We start from the raw sequence: 26,821 nt of genomic DNA on the forward strand, positions 1-26,821 counted from the left end.
CCTAAAACACCAGAACAAATTTGCAAACTCTATTGCTCAGAAGACAGCAAGGAGAAAAACAAGTGTTCATTTCTTATTGATACCCACAGTCTTTGGTTTCCTACTCCCTTAAGCTTGAGAAAAGAAATCAGTAAGTGCCTAGGACAAGGCCCCTAAAAATAACCTCCTAGCCCTTTTCCAGTCTTCTTTATACAAACAGAGGATGGATGGATAGAGGAAGGAAAGAGCTTGAAAAAAGTGCTCATCTCTGATCCTACTCAAGGGGCACCTCTCACCAAGCCCTTGGAGCTGGAGACCAGCACCTTCATCTGAGATTCTCTCTGAATTAAGAGTGGCCTTTACTCTCAACTTTGAGTTCTAGAAGCCAATACTGAAAAGTCAAAAAACATTGCACAAGATATTTTACACAATCCTGCTCTACAGAAAAGCCTTTAGTACAGGTAAATATTAAAAAAAAGTCTCAGTTGTAACTTCACTATTGCTGCAAATGAAAATCATTTACTTCACCTTATGTGGCCTATTTTCCTTTATCCTTTTTGTAGATCACTCTTCTCTTTTTTTTTGTAAATCAAAACAATTTATTGTATGAGTTTAAGAGTATCTTTACAGTCATCGATTAGTTTCAGCATCACAGTTCATTCTCTTTCCTTCAGCACCAAGAAAATTGATGCGATGGCCTGTCTTAAGTTGGCTTCCTCTATTGGTCTTTTATCTGACAAGACACCTTTGGCAAAGTCTCATCAATATGCTACTTTTCATCTGCCTGACACTGAAATCAATGGACTGCAGAAGAAGCCTCTCGATCAGCATTGTCAGAAATGATCACCATGCTGGACGGAGCATGCTACCTGATTTCTGTGAGCACTCATTCATTCCTGAAAGCTTTCTCTCAGCTGTTACAAGAGTGACCCTGCTTAGAGGTCAGAGATAAAGATGCTCTGCAGTCAGAGGATGCACGGTAAATGTGGAGAGGGGAGACTTTCTCAGAGCGTGAGACGATATAATGGTCTGTATATCTGGCCCCTGGGAGAAATCACATTTTCCATCTCTGGGGCACGTGACCTGCAGGATCTGCATTTGTGGGCCTGGAAGCCCTAATTTGTCATAAGTGACAGTTGGGATTAGTGGTTATATTCAACATTACAGAAAGAACTTACCCAAGCAAAAGTAAATGAGTTGGCATAATTAGTTTTATGAAGAAAATTTAAAGTATTCATCAAAAACTTTATAACAAAATATAAACATGATTATATAAATCTTTTTATATATTCTTGATTAACCAATACGAATAATTGAGTAGAAGAAAAAGCTTGCCAAATACCTTTTAACGTATTTAGATAATTTTCTCCCATCAGCGATAACAAGAATTATCATATCAAAAACTGAATTCCACTAGCAATCATAAACCTAATGGAATTAGGTTTCCCTGACTTGGAAGATTCTAGGCTTGTGCTCATTCTAAGAGAGAGAATAATGTCCTGGGAGCCTACAGCCATCACTCAGAACTCTAACCCAAAGTAGAAGAAAGATTGAAGACCACTGGTTTCAGACAATGATACCTAAATTATTCTGCCTGGTGAATATCTAAATGACCAAGGCACTTGATTGTTCTCTGCTTGAAGGAATACAAAAGCCTTTATACCCTAGAAGGCAAGAAGTTCTTTATTTAAAAAAAAAAAAGAAAAAAGAAAAGAAAAAATTTTGGCCTGGTTAAAATGCACTTCATTTTGTTCCTCATGTTGACCAGTAATTACATACTCTTCCCCCTGCAAAAGAAAAAACACTACTCATTCTAAAATAGCAGTATTGACCCTTTTGAGATATTTCAAAAGGATATTTTCAAAAAGACATTTCAAAATCCTAGAAGCAAAGAAAATATAGTTGAAATCCAGGAAAGCTGAGAAGGTACACAGTAAGTAATTAATTTGGAGACAACTGTCAAGAATTCCTCTGAGGGGTGGGTAGTATGTACTTCAACGACACCTTATTAATGAGGTGGCCAAGAAAAACCCCAAACCAAAATTGATTGAAAAGAGGATGCGTGAGTATCTAATGCAAACCCTGCAGGAACACTGATCACAATGCCAGGGGCCAAGGTATAGTCTTTCAGGTAAATATCCTGTAAGACCCCCAAAACATAGTCAAAGCCTGGGGGGGACCCCAGCTCACACGACAGATGAATAATGTACCCAGACACCGATATTCACTGAAAGAGCAGCTAGGGGTCCAAGCCGCTCACAGACACCAAGGAAGGTGCTGTAAAGAGTCAGCAGCCATGGCCCGACTAGCTGGCCCTGCAGGCATTTATTTAGCACAGTTTTAATGACAAAGGCTTTGAGTCAACACATCTGTGTGTAATTAATTTGGTTGTCCCCACCCCGGGAGAGCCATCCTGCCTGTGAGTGATCAAAGGTTAGTTTTAGGACCACATAAGTAAACGAGCTCTTTGGATAAACTCCTCTACATTCCTATGTATCTATGGCCTAAGCTATTAAGTGGATTCAGCTGCCTTCAGCCAAACACTTTATGCAAACCTCCAGGCCTTCCAAGAGGGTTTGTGTTTATTTCCTATAACTTCATCTTAAAATTTTTCCCACCAGCCTGACTGAACTCCCACAAAAGCATGGCTGCAAATCCCAGAGAAAGAAGAAAGAGAACTTACATAAAGGAGGCTTTCTGGAGAACTCGCTGTAAGAGGGTCAATGCGGAAATATGGAATGTGCTTAGGAGTCCACTGAAGCAGTCCAGGTGAGAGACAACTGACTTATAGTGGTTGGGGAGTGAGAAGTAGTCAGATTCAGGATATACTGATAGCCTCACACATCAATATCCTCAGACAGGGAAAAAGAGAATATCCCTCCAGTGTCCCTTTTAAACAGCAATCATATCACCCACCGCTCAGAACTCTCCAAACACTTCCCACATTATGAGAAAATTCAAGATTCTAATCATGGCTAGACGGTCCTTCTGATCCAATGTACCACCTCTGAGATCTCATTTCTTGCCAATTTCCTTGGTCACGCCTTTCCAGCCATGTTTACTTCCTTGCTGTTTCCCAAATACATCAAACATGTCCCTACCCTTGGGGCTTTGAACTTGTCTGGAAGCTCTCTTCTCCAGAAGTTCCCACAGTGTACTCCCCTCCTTCATTTAGGTCTTACCTTGTAGGCCAAAGAAGAATTCTCTGATAACTATTTATAAAGTAACAGCTCCAGCCAGGCTCGATGGCTCACACCGCGAATCCCAGCACATTGGGAGGCCAAGGCAGGAGGATCACTTGAACCCAGAAGCTCAAGACCTGTCTGGGCAACATGGAGAAACTTTGTCCCTACAAAAAAATACAAAAGTTAGCCAGGCATGGTGGCATGCTCCTGTGGTCCCAGCCAATTGGGAGGCTAGGGTGGGAGGATCACTTGGGCCCAGGAGTTCAAGGCTGCAGTGAGCTGTGATCACACCACTGCACTCCAGCCTGGGTGATAGAGTGAGACTCTGCCTCCAAAAAAAGAAAAAGAAAAAAAAAAAAAAAAAGGAACACCTCCTTCAACACTATTTTACCTTGCACAGCAATATTGTTCTTCACAGCACTTTTCACTACTTGAAATATATGTATCACCCCCTCTCCTTTTTTGAGCCTCTGTTTTCTTTAAAGTGTAACTTGATGAAGGCAGATAATTTGTTTCTTATCTAATAACAGAGCAGGAGATCTATCTGGAAACTTATAGCCAGCTTATTCCACTGGGTCCACTCAGTCCCACTGTATTTTCAGTACCTACAACCTTAGCACATAATATTCACTCAATGAACAATTGTGAAATAAATGAATAAAAGTAATGCCTAGAGCTGCTACAGCCATCCCGTGACCATAAAGAAATTTCTTGACAAGTGGTGGAAGGTGCAGCACAAAGACTAAAAGAACCTGGATCCACGGGGATGCCCCTAAGCTGTGGAATCCATCATTTCAGTAAGAGCCCTAGCTTTTAGTTGTCATATGAGACAATAAGTTCAGCCACTTTAATTTGGAATTGCTGCTTACTCCACAACTAGGACTGCCCTAACTGCTGCGTAATTTTAATCTTCTAGACAAATATCACATTTCAATTTCTAGAATATGTCATCCAAGAGCATTTTCCTTTCCCATTTCTCATACAATCTGCATAAATTCAACCAAATGGTTTGTAAGACTTTTAGGATTAATTTGATAATGTTTATCACATTTCTTATCCACCATGAGCTTCTATTATATAGGCATTTGAATTTCCCGCATTTGAAGAATGATGCAAAAACAAATTTCTTGTGCAGCTGGGCAAAACTGAATTATAAAACTTAAAATGACAAAAAAAGAAAAAACAAAGCCCCCCAAATCCAAAATGTGGCCTCCCAGAATACTTGTCTTTGAACATCTTTCTGATAAAAGTGTTTGAAACCTCTTAGAAAAACACTCAAGTAGAAAATGCTTTTGGAAGTTGACTCTATAAGGCAAAGGAATGTGTTATAGTTAACTGCTAAAGCCTAAATCACAGACACATTGTGTCCTTCAGAAATGTGTCTCATATTCTCAGACATCTTGGGCTATTTTCCAAGAATTGAATCTTTCAATTCCAAACATTTCCCTATGAATCCACTCTTAACTAAGTGTAACTACACTATTACCACTAGAAATTAATTCTTCATTTATTTATTTATTTATGAGTACTTATTGCATTATTATTTATTTATGAGTACTTACTGCATCAGACTTTAAGGCACTGAAGGAGATATCTATAAATGAGAAGATATGGATCCTAGTCTCAAGGTGTTTTGCTCAGAGAGGAAGCCCTCTCAAAAGCCTTAAAAATATAGTATACAACATAATTCATACTAAGATTTTTCCCAATTCACTGGCCTGTTGCAAACTTCCTCTCCCATGGTCTGAGGCATGTACAGTGAGCTACAGCCTAGAGTTGGTCAACAGAGAGCTCCAGTCACACAGTAATCTATGTGGCTCTTTCTATAAGAGGTGCCCCTTAGAGTTGGGCAGTGTCAAGCCAGCTGCCCCAGAATGAGCATTGGTCCATCCCAACTGTACCTGACCTTGCCATTTGAGATAGATTTGGAGACTTAGGACTGACTCATTCTACTGAGTCTCATACACCTGTCATTCTTGATCATTGGCCAAAGTGGAAACCTCTCTAGCCATCTTTCCTCTCTGTGTCTTTTCCAATTGGGTGTTTTGCTTCTCTTACCCCATATTATGGGTTAAAATGTGTTCTTCCAGAAAAGATATGTTGAAGTCCTAACCCTCAGAATGTGGCCTCATTTGGAAATAGGATTGTTGCTAATGCAATTGGTTAAGATGAGGTCATACTGGAGTAGGGTGGGCCCCTAATTCAATATGACTAGCGTGCTCCTAAAAAGAACTCCAGGTAGAGAGAGAGACACAAGGAGAAGGTCATGCAAAGGTGAGAAGTCATAGATCAGAAGGGTGCATCTACAAGCCAACTAACACCAAAGATGGCCAGCAAAACACCAGAAGCTAGGACAGAGACCTAGAACAGGTTCTCCTTCACAGTTCTCAGAAGGAACCAATTCTGCAGACATTTTCTTCTCAAATTTCTAGCTTTCAGAACTGTAAGACAATAAATTTCTGTTGTTTAAGCCTCCCAGTTGGTGGCATTTTTATTTTGTTATGGAAGCCACAGCAAACTAATACATCCCATCTGTTGCTCCCATTCTGATTGTTGAAAAATCTCCTAACTGTGATGTCTGGAACTCCCATTCCATGCTAAAGAAACTTCCCAACATCTTTATTTTCTTCACCAAACAGCCTCTCTCTGCTTCTAGCACTGTCTTGAAGACATGGCTTTACATGTGGCTCTCTCAAGGGCAATTCATCACTTCACTGAGACAGCCAGGTGGGAGGGGCTCCCTGGCAAAACTCCAGCCAGCCTGTACACTAGGGTGGAGTCTTGGGAAGTTTGAGCCTTTTGCAGCAGGGGGAAAAGCTTGGCCCCTCCTCTTCCTGTGTGGAAACTGGGATTCAAACTGCGAGGCGGGAAGCACAGGAGCAGGGGACTCTGGCTTTGCAGAGGGTCCCTGTTCCCTGCTTTTTCCTTTTCACCCAATAAAACCCTGCTTTACTCACACTTCAAACTGTCTGCAAGCCTATATTTTTGTGGCATGGGATGGACAAGGACTCCATCTGTAGCTGAACTAAGGAAAAGTCCTGCAACAGTACTAAGTTGGCATTCTCTAGCTCCCTATTGCTATTTCCAGGGAATTACTCCCCAATATGTTGCAAAACTCCCTCTCACTCTGCCAGTTAAGCCATTGGATAGCTTCTACCCTCCCTCATCACTGCTGTCTTCCAGCATATTCATGGTTAATGTATGAGATGTTTTCCATCATATTTATGGACACACTTGACACCTGCTTTGCACTCATCATTTTCACCTCAAGTCCTGCCCTCATCTCTGGCATCTTTTATGATCACATGAATAAGCTGCCCAACTCCCCAGCCCAAGGACTGATTGTTCTCTTCACACTCAGTGCCAACAACTGCTTTCTACTTCATTCACTGGTATTTAGGTATCTTACTCACCTATCTCACCTGATCTGCTCTATATCAGAATACTTACATTCCACTCCCTAGACACAATCTCCAATCCTACATTTTTCTCATGGTCTTTTTCCTGCCAAACTTGTCTCTTTTTGTTTTTTGTTTTTTATTTTTGGCTTCGTACACATCTCTAAGCTCTCAGTGCCTCCACATTTTGTCAAGTAATGAAACCTTTCTTGGTTTTACTTTCCTATCTAGACCAGGCCTCTCTATTGATCACCAAGCAACGTCTCTTCCATAAAGTCAGTCTACAGCACCATAGATGATTCTGGGGACATATCATCAAAGATGTGCCTTTGTGTGATGAGCTGAGAAAGAGCTGGTAGAATGCTAATGACTAGGTAACGGGGCCTCTCAAATCCTTTTCAAAATAATTCAAAATGTAATAGTTATTTATCTGTGTAATAATAAGAAATACAGGTTTTGTCTCCGCCTCCCTTTCCTAGTAGACAGTTCCTAAAACCAAGTGATAGGTGTCTTTTCATGTGCTAATGGGATGGCTGGTGGCGGGGCTCCTGAATAGCCTCAAGATGGGGGCTGGGTGCCAGGAGAACCAACCAAGTGATTACACAGTTGGAACTTTCAGCCCCATGCTACCTCCCACCCCACCCCTCAATCTCTAGGGAGCAGAGGAGGGCTGAAGGTTGAGGTGATCACCAATGGCCAATGATTTAATCAATCATGCCTATGTAAGGAAGCCTGTATAAAAACCAGAAGGGCAGGGTTCAGAGAACTTCCAGGTGGTTAACAGCAACACATCCACATGCTGGGAGCATGGTGCATCCCAAGATCCACAGGGACAGAAGCCCCAGTGCTCAAGACCTTCCAGGACCTTGCCCTGTGTATCTCTTTATCTGGCTGTTCATTTGTATCCTTTAAAGTAGTCTTTGTAATAAAATGGTAACCTAGTAAGTAAGCCATTTTCCTGGATTCCATGATCCATTCTAGCACATTATCAAACTTGAGAAAGGTCATGGGAGCCACCAATTTGTAGCCAAGTTGGACAGAAGTTGTGGGTAACCTAGGTACTCACTCACTACTTGTGATTGGCGTCTGGAGCGGAGGCACCCCATGGGACCAAGCCCTTGATTTGATGCTACCTCCAGGTACATAGTTTCAGAATTGAGATAAATTGTAGGACACCAGTTGGTATCCACAGATAATTGGAGAATTTCTTGGTGTGGGAGAAGCACCCACACATTTGGTAACAGACATGTTCTGTGTTGAGTGTAAGAACAGAGAAAAGCAGTTTGTTACTTCTATATGGATTATTTTACCTAAAATTTTGGTTACATTACTTTGTAGTTCTTCAATCTTTCCCCATCAGTTATATAACTGAGTTCTAGCTCCTTAGACTGGCTTCCCAGGCCATTAATAATATGATCTTGCCTATCCCCTTCCAAATTGCTTCCCAGCACTTCCTACTGTTCACATTGTGCAATCTGAAGTCTTTCTGATTTGGAAATGCTTCTGCCCACAGTCTTATCCTCTCTTGCTTAGGTAATCCCATAAGGAGTTCTCTCTCCTCTTAATCTTCTGGTGAACTCCTGAGCATTCTTCAACACTCACTGAAGACCTTACATCACTTTCATATCATTCACAGATTCCTTGGATAGAATTTATAAGTCCTGTCTTTCAGACACTTCATCTTATCCACACTTCTACAATTGTACTATTTTTATTTTTCCACATGTATCTTCACTATAGTGCAGGGTTTCTCAGCCTCAGCACTATTGACATTTGAGGCCGGTTAATTCTTTGTAGTGGCAGGGGCGGGCTGTTCCGGGTATCATAGGATGCTTCGCAGCATATCCGACCTCTGCCCACTAGATTCTAGTAGCATCACTCCAAATTGTGACAATCAAAAATGTCTCCAGACATTGCCAAACGTTCCCTGGAGGACAAAAGCGCCTCCAGTTACAGTGCAAGCCACTCCAGGGTTGCACCTTACCTTTTTCATCTTGTTAAACTCAGAAACTAGCAGAGTGCCTGCCTCATAACATACACTCAGCCAACGTTTAATGAATTGATCTGAAGCTCAGGAAGTGTGACACTGTTCCAGCAAAACGCCACAGAGAACCCAGGCAGTGTCAACAGCGTTCTTCCAGGTACTTCTAATGAAGACATTTTCTAGTTAAAACATAATGTTTCACTCCTAAGACGGACAACAGCATTCTGCATTTTCTTTCTGAAAGCAAAGGGCATATCTGCAAAGTTTCCCGAGCACCGTGGCCCGAGGCTATTTTTGACTGTGTAGCTCTTGCAGACTTGGGGCCTCCCTCCCCGCCAGTTGGCTTTCTCACGCTCTTGCAGCTTTTCTGCCTGCCCCCACTTCCCCAGTAGTTTCATTCAGTACTTCGCTTCCACACACAGCACTGGGCAGAGACCCTCAGTGGGCACTCGCCGCTGCTCAGAACCAGGCCCTCAGCAGACGTGAATGGCTCCTGTGGCAAAGGGCCAAGTTCATTGTCTGCCTGCTTCCTGTGCCAAGGCATTTGGCTCCTGTCTACTGCTTTTATCTGCATTTGTCTTTTCAACCAAATGAAGTTAAATTATGTCCTTACTTTTTACTACTGGGGCTGCCTGAATTCTCTATCTTAATATGACTTCCTAGTAAAGCCCATTTTCTTCTCAAAGAGAGGGTTATAAATACTGCGAGATGGGAAATGGACCACTTCTAGAAAAGCCATGTGAGCCCAGCTTGGTGTATGTGGGAAGGGTTCAGACTTCCCAGCACCATGGGATACGACTCAAGGAGGATATTTCATATTTAAGACAAAGGGTAACTTAACGGCTTTTCTCTCACCTGCCAAATGCCAGGTCTTTTGGCCACTCTTCTGTTTGCATGGAAAATTATAAAAAGGCAAAGAGATTCTGGAGAACTTGACATAGTAAAACCAGGTGGAAATTTTTCTCCTTAAAACAATTGTAGAAATTAGAAGAGAAGCACCTCACCAGCAGCTGACAGGCCAATGTGACAGAGCAGTGCTCTCCTCTCCAATTGTGTTTGCTTTTTGCTCTCTCTCCCTCGGGCTTTGGGAAGAATTGATTTGGGGCTCTTATGTTTAAAACATTATGGCAGACATTGTAAGTTGACTAGCCCAATTTCCATTCTCAACTCCCTTCTTCTGCCTCTTAGAAGCTGGTAAAACTGAACACTCACTTTCCCGGCTTCCTTTGAAGCATGTGGCATGTCACCTATTTCTGTCCAATAGTACCTAAGATTTTTTTTTTCTGGGGGATTCTGGGAAAGTATTTGCTGTCCTGATATGAAAGACAGATGTTTCTTGTGCTGGCCTCTGTGCCCTTCTTCCTGCTTTGAGTGTGGACATCGCCTGAAGCTGGTACTTAGAGCTGCAGCCCCTTCTAGGGACTGTGAAGCATCTCTTCTGACCATAGGCAGCTGCACCATTCTGCTACATGAGAAAAAGAACCCCCTTTCTCTAACCTGGTAAATAACTGTTCTGTTGTTTGCTGCCAAAAGGCTTTATAATGAAAATAGCTGTATTTACCCTGTAGTCAAGTCACTATGAAAGTAAGTGCAGCTGTTTTACCCATTCCCTCTTCCCTGTGCACTCTCATCAGAAATTCACCAGGATACAATGTGATTCGTTCAAAATCCACCTAGATTAAGCATTAATCTAAGCTAAAAATGATGCTATATATTTAAATGAAACAAAGACAGAACTTTTGTTTTATTCATCATTATAGTCTCCAATGTCTACCAAGTACCTTCTATTAGGTACTTCAAAGCAGTATTTGAACTTTTAAAAATCAACTTTATTAATCCTCTAGGATTAATGAAGTATCTTTACGAATAAATACACAGCCTGCTCTTCTAAAATAAAGTCACTCATTTTTGTCTGATTAACATGTTTAAATTGTTACAATTTTTTTAATTTTAGAGATACCAAAAGTGAGCCATTTTATTAAACATTACCCTATCTACAACTAGGATTTTCAAATAATATTTCCAGGATTTATATTCCTTTTTGGTTTTATTTCCAGCCTCCTCATCCCTCTACTTAGTGGGATCAAGGGAACATAGAGGTGCAGTACTGGGTGGTAAACAGAAAAAAAAACTCCTTTAAGGACTATTGCAGGGCAGGTGGCAGAAATCAACTCGCTCATGACAGTAACTCTCTGACAGCACAAAGAGGCTGAGAGAGCTACTCAACTGTCAGAGAAAATCATTTAAGGAGCAGGGGCCCTGATTTCAGACCTGGACAGATAAAGCTTTATAGCCTACTAAAATAGGCTATCTAAGAGAAAGACCCAGATCATTGTGGTTAATATCAGCCACACAGCAAAGTATGAACAGCATAGCAACACAGCATCTGATAACAACTAGAGCCAATGTGAGCAGGAAAAACTTTTCTCAAAACAATGACAATCAGCCTGGTCAACTTTACAAGACACATTCAATTCACTTCAGTTTTCACAGACCACAGTGTTTCTCTATTTATAAACAATGTTTTTCGGGGAGTCAGTGTCCTATTGCTTTAATACACCTCTGATACAGTGGTCTATTCCAATTTGAATTGTTGGATGGCTTAATTAGAGAACTAGAAAATAACAGGAAAAAAGCCAACAGTCATACACCTAAATTTCCTCTATGTGTCCGAGGTATGACATGCATTCCTCATTTAGGGCCCAGCACAATCCCATGATGTGGGCATCACTGGCTCCATTTTACAGATGTGACTGTTAAACCTGTAAGTTCACATGCTTTCACCACGCCATGAACTGTGTGCTTGAAGTGTCACTGTGTCTGGGTAGAGCAAGCGGAGACCTGGTCATAAACGGGTGTGTAAGGAGTGAGTGTTCGTTTGATGAGCAGAGTGATGTTGTATTCAAATGGCTGAGAACTGCTGGCATGGTGGCTCATGCCTGTAATCCCAGCACTTTGGGAGGCCGAGGCAGGCGGATCACGAGGTCAGGAGATCAAGACCATCCTGGCTAACACAGTGAAACCCCATCTCTACTAAAAATACAGAAAATTAGCCGGGCATGGTGGTGGCCGCCTGTAGTCCCAGCTACTCAGGAGGCTGAGGCAGGAGAATAGCATGAACCCGGGAGGCAGAGCTTGCAGTGAGCCGAGATTGCCCCACTGCACTCCAGCCTGGGAGACAGAGCGAGACTCCGTCTCAAAAAAAAAAAAAAAAAAAAAAAAAATGGCTGAGAACTTTGCAACCCTGTACTCACCATTTGAAAAAAATGCAAATAAAATAATTCTTATTAAATGTCTACTTCTCATGGCAAAACTAGTAAGTGGCCAATGCTGAAAAAAATTTTAACCCAAGTCAACAAACAAATGTAGTTGGGACGAAAGCCATCAGCCTCAAGATTCTGAGCAAATTGAAAGATGAAAATGAAGAGGCTTTGGTGAATATTTACTTTTGTTTGTAGTGAGTTCTAAAGGATGGTACTGATCAAATATAAGGGTGACCACTTAGAACAGAAGAGATCCAGAAGAGGCCTTTAAGCCCTACCTCCAAACAAGAAAAGCTTGGGGAGCCTAAAATAAACCCACCACTTGAGAAAAATCTGTAGGAAAGGTAATTATCTGTGTAAGGGGGTAGAGTGAGGAAATTATAATTTTTTCATTTACTGAGATCCCTGGAGTGGGAAATAAGAAATATCTACAAGCCTTCAATAGTACTGAGAGCAAATGAATCGTGATAGAATCAGGAGATGGCTGCCGAGGCTTAGAGAAGCTAGGATTGGCTGTGTTCTGTTAAAGTCACCAAGTGAATGGCTAAGGAAATCAAGGACTTACAATTTTAAAGTACAAAGTAATCTTGAAAATTACCTAATTTAATCCCTAATCTCATAAGCTTGAAATCTACAGTCCAGAAATGGTTTTAGAACACCAGGTCTTTGACACCTAGGACAGCATTCTTCTACTACTTCATGATATTCTCTCATACATCCATTATAATCATCCATTATAATCAGTTATCAAATATACATAATATGCAATATACTTACTCTTCAAAAGTGGTTGTAGAAGACAACAAAAATTACCTCAAGCTTTCCCCATAGCCAGATTGGAGCTGCCTTCGACATGCAAAATGTGTATTACAAATACCAAAATGAGGTTATTTTTCTAGAGCAAATTTTAGCAGCATCAAAAAGTATACTAAAAATATGCCACTAGGCAGAATCTTCATCTTTAAATAAAATATTGGTCTCTCTACAATAAAAATATAATGTACAGTTTATTTATTCTTGCTTTAGACAAAAATAAAATAAACCCGGAGAATTTTGGAGATCATTTGTAAACTGAACACAGCACAGTTATTCTACTAATCCTCAATTTCTCACTGGAAGTAGAGGACCCCCTTGAAACTTGAGTGAGGTGAGTTAAGGACCAATAAAAGGAAGTATTACTTTACAAAGAAAATAATAAACGTATGGAGCTCATTATCACAAAAGAGGTACAGGCAAGGAATATAAATGGATTCATAAAGGTTTTGACCAAATTTATGAATGTCAGAGCCATAAATGGCTACTGAGAGTACACCTAACCTTTAAGGTTAATGTCAGGGAGGAAAACTATGTCCTTCCCTGGCAAATCCCTTGAGGCCTCTGTTGTCAACACAATATTAGGTTGGATGGAACATGGGCTTTTCCAGCAGAGCAATTCCAAAGTTCCTTTTAGCTAATAGGAAACAGGACCAGATGAACATCCATCTCTTCAATAGAAGCATAAATGAAATGGATCCATTTTAAATGGGAAGCTTAATGAAATGATGCTGTTGAAATTTGTTATTTCTATAATCAAGGTTGTGTGTGTGTGTGTGTGTGTGTATATATGTATCTCCAAAGTGTGTGTGTGTGTATATATATATACACTTTTTTGTTTATATAAACAAGAAAAAAGATTTAAGTTTTTGGAATTGGAAGAAAGCCAATATTTGCAATGTTTGAATCCAGGCCCTGGTGCAAGTTACTTCCCATTCAGTGCCTCAGCATTCTCACATGTAAAATGGGGAGAATAATCCCCATGGTAAGGGCATTTTGTGAGAGTCATGCTAGAAAGCACTTTGTAAACTGAGAAACAAAATATATATATAGTTGCTGTAGCATATAGCCAGCTTTAAGCAAATCTCAATCATTTTAGCAGAAGGCTTGTGAGACACATGAGATTGGAAGGCTCCTCACTTTATTTTTCCTGGGAGAATTAATACAAATATTCAAAAAGTACTCAAGACCCAAGTCAAATGCCCTCTCACAATGGCAGGGTTTCTTTCTCCTCTAAATTTCCAGAACATTTTAGTCATGTCTCAGTTAGACTATTTGTATTATGATTTGTCTGCTAATTTACCTCCTTCATTTAACTATGAGATCTTCTAAATCAGAGGCCTTGTCTTATTCATCTCTGCATCCCTAATACTTATCATAGTTCCTCATATATAGTTGGCAATTAATGGAAGTGAATAAATCACTTAATGTGTTACTAATCCTGTTGTCTCCACCTCACACTTCACAGTCATGGAATAAAGGAATGATCCAACTATAAAATGCAATAAACCGATCATGGCTAAGGTACAAAGTCAAGACCAAGCCTATGCTTGGTCTCATTTCTGGGCTCCAGTCTCTAACTCCCTTATTGTGGAGAGAATAGTGTCTTGGTTCTATTTGCATGAAAAATAAAAAGCAAAACCTGAATTACAGAGTAGTGAAATCTTCACCAAGTGCACATGCGTAAAATCCTAAAAATCTCTTGATTTCCTAAAACTACAGTTTTTAACTCTTTAAAATAAGATGAACACTATATAATTCTGACCATGGCCTCACATTTTAGGTAAGTACACCATTGCAGAGCATCTGATGGCCACTATCATGATCCACAAATAGAAAACAGCCTTGTTATCTACAGAATTCAATGCAGGGGTCAAAATGAATGTTAAAATACAACCTGCATATTTAGTCCATGACATGAACAAACAATTGTAGGTATTTAGATCTAGTGCCTGGATTGCAAATGCTCAACTTTATCCTTAATGGCCGATTTCCAAGCATACTTCTGGTTCCATGAGCTTGACTCAATGGACTAAATGCTTTTCTTCTTTTCCCATAAGTTAGGGTGGTTCTGCTTTATCAGATTTTTTTAATGCCTAGAAAATGTTCTCCTCTTGTTTATGAAGTTAGAAGGGTAAACAGGAAAGAGACTGCTGGCATTAAATAAATATGCATGTATACAGATGCACAGGTGTGTATGCTCACATGTAACCCTGTTTTCACTTAACAGCAGTTGAAAGAATGAGAGTGAAATGGGTCAATAAGCCACTGGACACCAGCATTTTCTTCAGCATCCCCAGGGGCCAGTCCCACCCTACCGCTGCCTTTGTGAGGGCACTCTCTGGCCAGTTTTGCTCAGCACATTCATTTAGCAGTTGGCATTTTTGTTGTGAAGCTGACCTTCTGCTCCTCTGAGTTCCTAAATGCTATCCACTAATATAACAGTTTTTCTTGTCAAAGGGATTGTAATGAATGTTTATTTCAGATCTACACTTCTTAGCTTATCTGTAGCCAGACTGACTTTGCTGCCTTCAGATTTCAGCTGTTTTATTCCCCAAGGCTAAATTTACATTGGTAATTAATAATATCCTTGCTTATTCTGACCAAATACATACATATAAATGTATCTTCCACCTCTCTGCATCATAAATGCATCTTACACTTATCTTATTGTCATTATTTCCTGCTGTCAGTCTCATATTGGAATACGCAACATTGCTGTACTTTGTCATGGTGAAAAGTTTGTCCTGCAAATGCTCAGTTTCTTAGGTCTTCCGTGAATGGCTGTGCTTATCTCATGTGTGCTTCTAGGCATCTCCAGGGCTCTGCATTTAACTTCATACTTCTAAAAGCATCTGTACAGAGGTAATATTAATGTTATTGCCACAGACAGGCAGAGCCTCATTTCTCTCTGCTTTGACTGAAAATGCCTGTTCATAGTGAAAATGTGCAGACATTGGCATTCTTGTATGAGGTTGGAATGTGTGTGGGTCCAGCCATTGACAGCAGGAAGAAATAAGACACAACTGCCAGATGGCTTGGTTTAAAAAAAAAATACCAGTCAAGATTTGCTAGTGATCCATAACCATTAAAATTATTTTCCCAAAGGATTCTCTATTCCGAGGCTGGAAAAATATTCCTGAATTCACTCTCAGTTCTGAGATGGGGTTGCGTGAAAGAGTGGGTGATTTAAAGATCACTTATCTCCCAGAATAGGTACTTAAACTAGACATACTGGGTGTTTAAAATTCTCGATATAAGGATATGACTGCTATCATCTTTAAATTTTTTGAAGATCTGATTTAGAATTCATAGTAGGAAGGCAGAAAGTAGTAGAATGAAGATTGAATTTGGAGTTAAGTTCTAGTCTCTACCATTAAGTGGTTATCTTTAGTGTATCCCTAAGCCTCAGTTTATTTTCTATATGTTGGAGATAAAATCTGCACTCTCTAGGTCATAGTCATAGTATTGTTTAAAGATCTTAAGATAAAAATGTGCAGAAATGAACTCTGTAAACCATCCAGTGCTATGAATCCAAATTGCTGTTATAAACTAACACAGAAGTTCCTGAGTGGGGGAAAAAATTAATAAGAAACCTATTAATGGCCCTGGTAGCTTTTGCAACCTGGGTTTCCTTAGATCATTCATGTTGTAACTTTCATGTTGTTGGTTTGATCATTAGATTAATTCACTTTATATTGTTTTCTTATTTTATCCCCGAACAACTCAAACCCAAGCTGAATTATAACAACAAATAATAATGTTTAGGAAAAAAAAGTCTGGTCCCAAACAATGGTAACTATTATAAATTTTTGACATGCACACTGGAAACAAGAATTTCAGTAGAAAATAATTAGCTTGTTGTCTTTGCGTTCATTTAAGTTAAAGTGATGGTTACACTGAGACATTACTGATTCTTCACTTGACACATCCACTCAGTGTTTCCACTAGGATTTCAGTGATCCTAGACCCTTCCCCACTAATGAGAATGCCACCTTCACACCCAGTGTGCTTCTTCTGTTCTATCTGTGGACTCCATGCTCTTTGCAGCCACTGCCTCCTTCTCTCTAGTTGGCTGCTGGATGCTGTGGACCCGCTCAGTTGCCCCGATGAAGTATGAACTGGGTGAACACTTGCTGTATGAGTGAGTGATGCCACATGCCTCTTCTCCTTTAAGGCCCATATATGAAGGCACTGCTGGTGGAGGCAGCAGAGTGAGTCAAATCTCACAAATGACCATCACCAAATTCAACATCCCCAAATTCCTGTGCCCAGTAAATGTGATAACTTTTTCCTAAGATACAATCAAAGGGTAAATAAAATAGAATGCCATCTGTCCTGAAGAATACTTTCCCAGGGTGAGGCTTCTCTAACAGCTTCTGCATTACAGACTATCAAAAGACAGCATTCTGGAACGTTCTGAAAGTAGAGAGGGAGAGAGAGAGCAAATACTGCACAGAGGTGTCAGGATTACTAAGCACTGAAATATTTTTATTTTTATTTTTATTTATGTATTTTTTTGAGACGAAGTCTCACTCTGTTGCCCAAGTTGGAGTGCAGTGGCGTGATCTTGGCTCACTGCAACCTCTGCCTCCCGGGTTCAAGCAATTCTCCTGCCTCAGCCTCCCAAGTAGCTGGACTACAGGCACATACCACCAGGTCTGGCTAATTTTTGTATTTTTAGTAGAGACGGGGTTTTCACCATGTTGGCCAGGCTGGTCTCGAACTCCTGACTTCGTGAGCTGCCCACCTCGGCTTCCCAAAGTGCTGGGATTACAGGCGTGGGCCACCATGGCCAGCCATCTTTATTTCTCAACTATTATTCCACATCAAAGAGAAGTTCACATTTTAACAGAAGATAGACGTAACCTCTGGATGAAACTGCAAGTCTATAGTCTTTAACTGTGTTCATTACCATATTAGGTAATAATGACTATGGACATATAATTATTGATTACTGCTTTTAAAATAACCATGCTATTGAGTAGCCATGAACATAAAACTATGAGGTTATAATAGAAAATAAATTCGGCTCTGAGCATATAAAAATTTCAATTAAAAAAACATACAATAAGAGACACTGTTCCAGAATTACATGTTTTTGGTTGATCTTTCACCATTCATGTTATGCAGCCTTCCGTGCTGCAAAACCTGGCAATGATTAAGAACAACATGCAGCATCGAAATCACAATAATGGCACTGGATATTACAATACTGAAGTGAAACCGAACAGTTTTCATTTCAGATTCCATGATTTGTTAGTCCAGTCATGTGACACGGGACAAGTCACTTTATTTATATTCAGCCTTTTAGTTTATACATTGAACCTCCTGGGCTCCTGTGGGATTGAAAAATGTTGATGACAGAGGGTGTAAGTCTTTATAAACTCTGAGTTTCCAGTTCTGTTTTTAAAACATTGCTTGGATTAAATCAGCAAATTGTACTGTTATTTTGTGACTTTGGAAGGCTGAGCTCTTCATCTCTGCTTTTATTATAACGACTGTTACTAAAACTGACACTCATGACCCCATTACCCACCAGGACGATCAGGCATTCTCTTCAGGTGTGTGTTGTTTTATCACTAAACTTAGTCACTTTACTAAAGTAACTTCAGACGGGCTTTAGATTTGAGGGCAGGCTGTAAAACTAACAAGAAAAAAGGAAAATTTAAAGATATGGACACAGAGTGATGGGTTGCCTTCCTAATCATGTATTCAGAGGCTGAAAGCCCAGAGAACCTGGGCAATTGCTAACCTGCAGTATCTGGAGCAACCAGCAATCTAATGTGAAATTCCTTTCATCTTCCCTCCACACTCCTGTGAAAACCAGGAGGATTTCTGAGAGGCACAGAGATTCTCAATCGTTGCAACGAGGCAGCTTTCTTGTAGTGTGAGTTCATGAGAGGAAGGGCAATTTCATGTTAAACATACACACAAGATGACAGGGAAGGGGGCGAGCTGATAGCCCAAAATACATATGCAAACCCTCCCTTGGAAGCTTGCTTTTCACTCTCTTGTACAAAGTCAATGGAAACCAAGGAACTACCATTCCAGAATTGTCGCCTGCTTTAATCCTTAATAACCAAATAAAAATGGGCAGCCCGTATTCGGGAGCAGCTCTAGCAAGCAGACCTCTAGGAAACAAGGCTCCCTGCAGACTTTCCCTTGATCTTAAAGCTTAACTTGAAACATTTATATGCACGGAGCACCTGGCCAGGAGATGTGAGAAGGCCTTTTTTTTTTTTTCTTTTTTTCACCTTGGCTCCATTTCTTTCTTTAATAATAAATTCTCAGTTTTCTTTTTTCCCTTCTTGGAAACTGATTCCACTCTAAATAATGTTTTTTGTTCTTTCTTAATAGTTTAAGAAAAGCAAGACAAACTTGAAAACCCCCCATTAACATCCATCAGGCTCCCCGCCTGCCGATCGGTATCATCTTCACTTTAGGAAAGATGAAGCAGAAAGTCAGTGTAGGTTAATTCCAATCAGGTTGAGAACTTCTTTTGTTTGAATTCAAAGGGCTCAGGTTAACCTATTATGCAATTTAGTACCAACTGGCTGCACAAATCTTCTTTCACATACCTTGCTGGGTGAAGAAGTGATGAGTGCAGAAACTTGTTCTGACTGCACCAGTTTAAATACGCAGGTGTTTGAATTATGGTCAGAAGTTTAACAGAGGAGGAAAGCTCATATCTGTCCTACAATGGTAACACCATCTGAGTCACATCCTCAACAAGGTTATAATGCATTTAATGGTAAAAAATATACACAGAGTCTGATATAAAGACTTTCCCTCAAATCGGGTCAAAACTAGGACAGATGCTTTATAGTTATTTTGAAATAAATGTATGTAAAGAAGGGAGTACCAGCTCATGAGTATCACCAGCCTCTCTCCTCCTTTCTTTCTTCCGTCTTTCATTCCTTCTTTCCTGCACATTTTGATTTCACAAAAGAATTTAAAGCATACCTGAAGACACACACTACACAGGATATAATAAATAGCTGAAATTGGAGCAAAAAAGAAAATAGACAAGAAAACTAATGCTGAAGGAAATATTCCAAAATATATATAAATGCAAACCATTCACTCCTGTATGGTTGCTGGAAAGTGGAAGGTGGAACTTTGGCTGGATGGATGCCCTGACTCTAGTCCAGTCCCCAGCACCAATGCTCAAGAGATGCCCAATTCATCTCCTCAACTCCCACCTAGCCCTCCTCTAATCTCAGTCTCCATACCTGAGTGATACCTCTAAAAAGCAAATCAGATGAGGTCTTATCATTGCTTCAACATGTTAATGACTGCCCCCTATACATAAGATAAAGTCAGAATTCCTCAGTGTAGCTTATAATACTAGCCTGACCCGGCACCTCACTGCTGTCCACCTCTCTGGCAGTCTCAGCACCCCACCAGCTACTCTGCCCTCTGGTCACACCAGACCTCGTTCAACAATTCAAATATGTCCTTTCCTGCACAGTTTTTTCAGTGAGGCTCCTCTGCCTCTCCACCAGCTGAACTTGCACTTAAACTTCCTCCAGTTCTGGGTCATGCTCCTCAGACTGGAGTAGGTGCTCCCGAAGCATGTTCCCACCTGTCCTTCCTCGTCACAGCACCTGTCACACTTCATTATTTACTTACCAGCTTGCTTTTGCTGTTTGAGAATGCACTCTTGGAGAGTTCGAGCTGGGTCTAGGTTGCTCCTTATTTCCAGCATCTATCAGAGTGCCTGACATATCACTACTGCTTACCGATACATTATTGTTGTCACATGCATAAATCATAACAACTGACATTAATTAAACATTCACCATGGGCTAAAAAAGATGCACCATGTTTTACCTTCTTTATCTTTGTAGAAAAAAACATTTATTCTTCAAAATAAAGCCATTATCTTTCTTCATAGTAAAGCTATGAGGTACGTTATTATTATCTTCATTTTACAGATAAGGAAACTGAACCTGCAAGCTCAGACAAATGCTTCCCAACAGCCTAAGCAATAAACAGACAATGTTCAGTTACAAAATTTATAGTGGAAAAAATTCACAATTGTTGGGGAGAAACATGATTTTTCGCAGATCATAAAACTTAAAATATTAATTCCCATGAGTTATGTGAAAGCATTCGCCAATGGCCTGATTGTATGGATGGCAGCCTGCAGAATCCCTACAGTGAACAAAGTAACAGGCTTTATAAGGCCCCTTGCTAGTGTCTCTCAATACAAGCAATAGCACAACACGAAAGCACAATTCACCAGGCTCCAGCCTACACCAGGCAAAACACACAGCTCTCCTGTGGCCTGGCTTAAACCAAGGGGTTATTTAATTTTGCCAAAATCAAACCTAGCAAATATTCATGTTGTGACTTTGAGATCATTTTCCCCCTGAGAAGAGGGAGGAAAAGGAGAGTCCATAAGAAGAAAAGGCAAGGACTAGAGACTTACTCTGAAGAGAAGGGTGACACAGGTCTGCATAGGAGCTGCCTTTGCCAGCATAGTCTTCCTGACTAATTTCTGAAAAGACATGCTGACCTGGGCCTGACGCTTCCTCCGCCACCTGGAGGCTTTGGTCTCAGTAGCTCTAGGAGCCTTTCTGCTCTCATGGGCCCTGAATCTATGTCCAAGTTACAAATGGCTGCTTTTGGGGGGAGAGGGAGGGTAGTTTATTTTGTTATATTTAAAAGTGACAACCCTGCCCCCAGACCAAAGCTTTGGGTTTGTTTGGGGTTTGATCATCAAAATGGAGAGTTAGTCAAGCAAGGCAATTCTGACTACTTCCTCCTCACCATCTGGGTGCCACCAAGATATAAAGCCTTTGGCAGCAGAAAACCCGTGCACACATACATATGCCTGCACATGCATGCGCTCACAGGTCTTCTTTTGTGTTGGGTGCAACAGCCCATTTTGGAACTCTGTGCCATTTGCATGTGTATTTCCAAGCCTGATGAAAATTTTTTCCCTGAAACAACCGAGCTTTTACCAATTATTACCCATCAGTGTTTCACTATCTTGGAAGCATTCTCCCTACAGCCCTACTGTGGTCATTTTACTCCATTCCACCTACTGCAATATGAAAAGAAATCTTAGACCATGTGAATAGAGAGGTCGAAAGAGAGCAAATTTTCTCTTTAGTTGCAATAGTATGATCTCTAAAAAAATTATTTATTTATGGGCTGGGCGCGGTGGTTCACGCCTGTAATCCCAGCACTTTGGGAGGCCGAGGCAGGCGGATCACGAGGTCAGGAGATTGAGACCATCCTGGCTAACACGGCAAAACCCCGTCTCTACTAAAAATACAAAAAAAAATTAGCCGGGCGTGGTGGCAGGTGCCTGTAGTACCAGCTACTCGGGAGGCTGAGGCAGGAGAATGGCGTGAACCCAGGAGGCAGAGCTTGCAGTGAGCCGAGATCGCGCCACTGCACTCCAGCCTGGGCGACAGAGCGAGACTCCGTCTCAAAAAAAAAAAATTAGTTATATATGTTAGTATTTCTCTGTTAAAGCCATGCACGTATGCATCTGTTTTTAAAATATACACTTGTCTTTCAGACATTTGCAGTATTTCTCAACCTTTAAATAGCCTTCAGGAAAATGACTCTAACATAGATAATGTAAATTTGAACAATATAGACTCCCTTTTTCTCTGGAAGACACAAAGAATAAAATATTATCCATAAAAGTCTGGAAGTTTTAGTTTAAAAGAATAAATGCTAGAATCTTTAGAATATTTACCACCCACTTATTTGCTTCTAGGACATTTTGTAAATTGATGAGCCCAATTCTATGAAGTAGAAGAGAATAAAGCTGTCCACTTACATTCTTCCTACTAGTCAGCCATGAAATTTAAAATTTTATGATACTAGATTTATATGATATTTCTATGTATGGTTTTTGATATTACATCCTGAGTTTCTTTTGATTCAACATTTACTAGTTATTTAATTTCCTGTTCCCTGAAAAAAATGGAAATGGTGAAAAGTTTGAAATGACAGAAAAGAGAAGATTGAACTCCTTGAGAAATAAGTCCAAACTTTAGAGGCAAAATGACAAACATAAAACATAAAGAAGTCAGTATATCTGTCCTGGCAAAGAAAAGAAAAGTTCTCCATTTTTCTAGTAAGAAAAAAAAGTAATAATCTTAAATTTAGGAAGGGAAATTGAGGTTAGATTCCTAAACAATGGAATCATCTGGGTGGTGAGGGGCAGAATTTGTCCAGTCTATCAGGAAGTAAAGATTAGAGTAGACAATATCATCTTAGAGAGTGCAGGACACAAACATTGTAAATGTAGTCCAACCTGGAAGAAGCGTGGAATGCAGTTAATGATTTCTGGAGGACAGTTCCTTCCAGTCCTAAGAATCGGCAATTTGCCTACCATTTAGTAAATAGCCTTTACTTAGTGGAGGGTAGCCTAATGCTTTAAAAAAATAAAACATCTATCACAGCCCCTGCTCATTAGTACTATACAGACCTCAAGAATCTTTGGTGCTGTATTAATGCCAAGTACTCTCTCACTTAAGTGGTACAGCCTATATTCCATTAGAGACGGGTAAGAAGAGGCACCAGTTCTTTTTAGCAATCAGTTTTTTTTTTAAATTGCCCATCTTCATCTTAAACTTTTCGATAGCTTGTCAAAATAAGGGACAGTGGAAGCACACAACATAACAAAATATAAACACCAAACCTAGTCCTTGCGAGAAAACTCCCCAGCATTCCCTACCCTGTTCAATCACGCTGCTCATTAAACAAGTCATTTTAATACTCACTGTCAGCCCAATCTTCTAGGTGCCAGGATTTTCTTTTGAAGAGAGAAGGTACTCTGTGGGCCAGCCTTGCAGAAGGGTAAACATTTGGAAACCAGGACAGGGTTTTCTAGTATTTAAGATCTGGCATCTTCTAAATTTAGGGGTACTCCCTTTCCTGCTTTTTGGGCTTAAAATATTTTTAAATTTTACTTTATTTTAATTTTTTAGTTTGCACAGACACAATGTGCTGTGAAACACACCTCAAGTGTCTTTTAAAAATTAAAACAGGGTTGATTTGTAGTGTCAATGATTCCTGCTAATCAAAATCACTGACAATTTTTCAGGAGGGAAGAAGTATGGTTTAGCCCTCTCACTAGAGAGCATTGCTTCATTTTTCTGTTTTGATCTAAATCTGAATGTTTTCCTGCAGATAATTCTCTTGCATTTTTTAAAGGGGAGAAACAGGCAATAAAATTCTAAGAAAATAAATGTTTATTTGGACACACAAATTTCTATCCCTGACCCCAGGTGCATGAGCGGAGCTTCAGGTCCCTCTGCTGGTCCAGCTCAGTGGGAGCTGTCAAGGGCAGGTTCAGAGACTTCTACCTCTAAATGAAAACTTGTAAATAGAATGTTGTGTTTACTCTTCTCCTATGGCCAAGGACCATCACTGGAATGCAGGGAGTGGTAAGTGTGGACTCCAACTATGACAGGAAAATCAAGCAGCCGCCCAGACAGAATTTCTCTAAGTTGTGTATCTGACTCAGAAGTCAATGTACATTTCAATACATGCTCCATTTTCTAACCATGCTTTTTTGAAATTGTCTTTTAAAAATTAGAAGTGGTTTTTGTGAACTAGAAAATTTATAAGAAGCTCCTTGTCTTTAAAGTCAAGGATTTATTTAAAAAACTAGAGAAACAAGAAGAAAGAAGGCAAGAGAATGTGACAAAGCAGTAATTTTCCCAGACTCTTAACTTCTAGCAACAAAAATCTGTGTAAGTATAGTTTGGAGATCAGTAGACTTGACTCTTTTAAACCGGAGAGTCATGCTATGGTATTCTGGTACTCTTTTTCTATGAGAATAAAACTGGCTTTTAATGTTTAAACATTATGTGTAGCTTAACTGTAAACCCATTCAAGAAAGCACCATTCTCTTTAATTATCATTATGAGGGCCTTTATACACATTCATGAATTAACACCAGAAAAGGATAGTGCTATTTTGTAATACTAGTCTTCGTTATATTTTCATATCATTTTTAAATACAAAAATATAATATTAGAGAAAGAAAAAAAACTAATGAGGTCACTTAATTCAAATGAGCCAAGGCAAATAATATTTGAACAGTGATTAATTGGTCTAAAGCTATCACCTTAAACCAAAGAGTTAATAATGATCCAGAACAAATAATGACAGAAATATATATTTATTTAGATATATATATCTGTATATGTGTGTACATACGTGTATATGTGTGTATATACGTGTATATACACACATATACACGTATATATGTATATATACGTGTATATACACACATATACACGTATATACACACATATACACGTATATATATACGTGTATATATACACACATATACACGTATATATATACGTGTATATATACACACATATACACGTATATATATACGTGTATATATACACACATATACACGTATATATATACGTGTATATATACACACATATACACATATACACGTATATATACGTGTATATACACACATATACACGTATATATACGTGTATATACACACATATACACATATGTATATATACGTGTATATACACACATATACACATATGTATATATACGTGTATATACACACATACACATGTGTGTACATACACACAAGTGTATGTACACACATACACACGTGTACATACACACAAGTGTATGTACACACATACACACGTGTGTACATACACACAAGTGCATGCACACACATACACACGTGTGTACATACACACAAGTGCATGCACACACATACACACGTGTGTGTACATACACACAAGTGCATGCACACACATATACACATATATACATACATATACACATGTGTATATACACATGTGTATATACATACATATACACATGTGTATATACACATATGTGTATATAGATACATATACACATATGTGTATATACACATAAGTGCATATACATACATATACACTTATGTGTATATACACATAAGTGTATATATGCGTGTATATACGTATATAAACACATATGTGTATATATGTGTGTGTGTGTATATATATATAGACAGAGAGAGAAAGGGAGAGAGACAGACACAGAGAAAGAGAAAGTGACAGGGAGAAAAAGAGAAGAGGGAAAATGGGAAATGACAAAGAAAAATACTACTTCACATAGCTGATGGGACCCTCAAAATTATCCGAAATGATAATGACATTTTATGTTATACATCCTAGTATTTAACAGAATAACAATAGAGACACATCCTTCTGCAATGTCTGAAATTATTCCTGCAGAAATCCACCCCTCCCCAGTGCAAGGATCCCCATTCTGAGAAACACACAGGAATGGCAACCCATGTGCGAGCCATCTTTCTCATCACATCAATCCCAACTCACACGTGGGTCTGATCACCTTTCTTTCAGACACACAGGGTGAATGAATATTAATTACAATTGTTAAAGCCCTACTATCTTTACAATGAATTCAACTTTCTAGTAATTGAGATATTTGAGTATTTTTAATGAAGACCATTTTGCTAAAATAAAAAAAAAAGTGTGGCAATTTTAAATTAAGTTGACTTAAAATTCATATTATTTGAAGGATTCTGTTGCTAAAGGAATTAAGGACACGAAGACCACTTCCAAACTTGTTGATAATCAGAAGCAGATGGAGGTGCTATTAAAAACTCAGATACCCATGCCCACATCAGAGCTACTAAATCAGAATCTCTGAGGACGGGTTCCTGGAATTTTATTTATTTATTTAGCTTCCAGATTTGGAAATCACTGCTCCAGGATGTTGCAAAATCAAGAGAGATGTTAAATGATTTGAATGAAAACATATTTCAACATCTGGGCAGTTCTCTGTAGCCACAAAGACTAGAAGAGCCGAGGCCACACCATCTCCAAATGCACCAGGTACAAATGTCTGTTATCCAAAAATGCACAGAAATAGAATACTGTGTAGTACACTTTTTAGGTAAATGAATTGAAAAATCATAATTTAATATGCTGTACCTTGTTCCCATTGTACAGAGTGATGTATTTAAATTACTAGCTTTTGCATTTTTACTTTTTAAAATTGGTTGTTGGAAAATTAAATCTGTCTTGCTTATTGGGAGTCAAAGCTGCAACATAAAAGAACAATGTTGCCATCTAGTGGTCAATTGAAGACATTAATGAATCAGACCATTGCGAGAAGTTTCAAGTTGAAGGAAAAGACAGCTCAGGAAATAATGTAAATATA

The 26,821-nt window shown here is 39.5% G+C and overlaps 1 long non-coding RNA gene across 1 annotated transcript; it reads left to right on the forward strand.

The window, feature by feature from the left end:
• The first annotated feature begins 653 nt into the window (after positions 1 to 653).
• On the forward strand, positions 654 to 26,821 carry LOC105377476 (uncharacterized). Its single transcript, XR_939316.3, has 3 exons — positions 654 to 857; positions 2,601 to 2,748; positions 26,343 to 26,821. It is a non-coding gene; the product is annotated as an uncharacterized LOC105377476 (long non-coding RNA).

Source organism: Homo sapiens, chromosome 4 (genome assembly GCF_000001405.40).
Source record: "Homo sapiens chromosome 4, GRCh38.p14 Primary Assembly".
Lineage (NCBI taxonomy): Eukaryota > Metazoa > Chordata > Mammalia > Primates > Hominidae > Homo > Homo sapiens.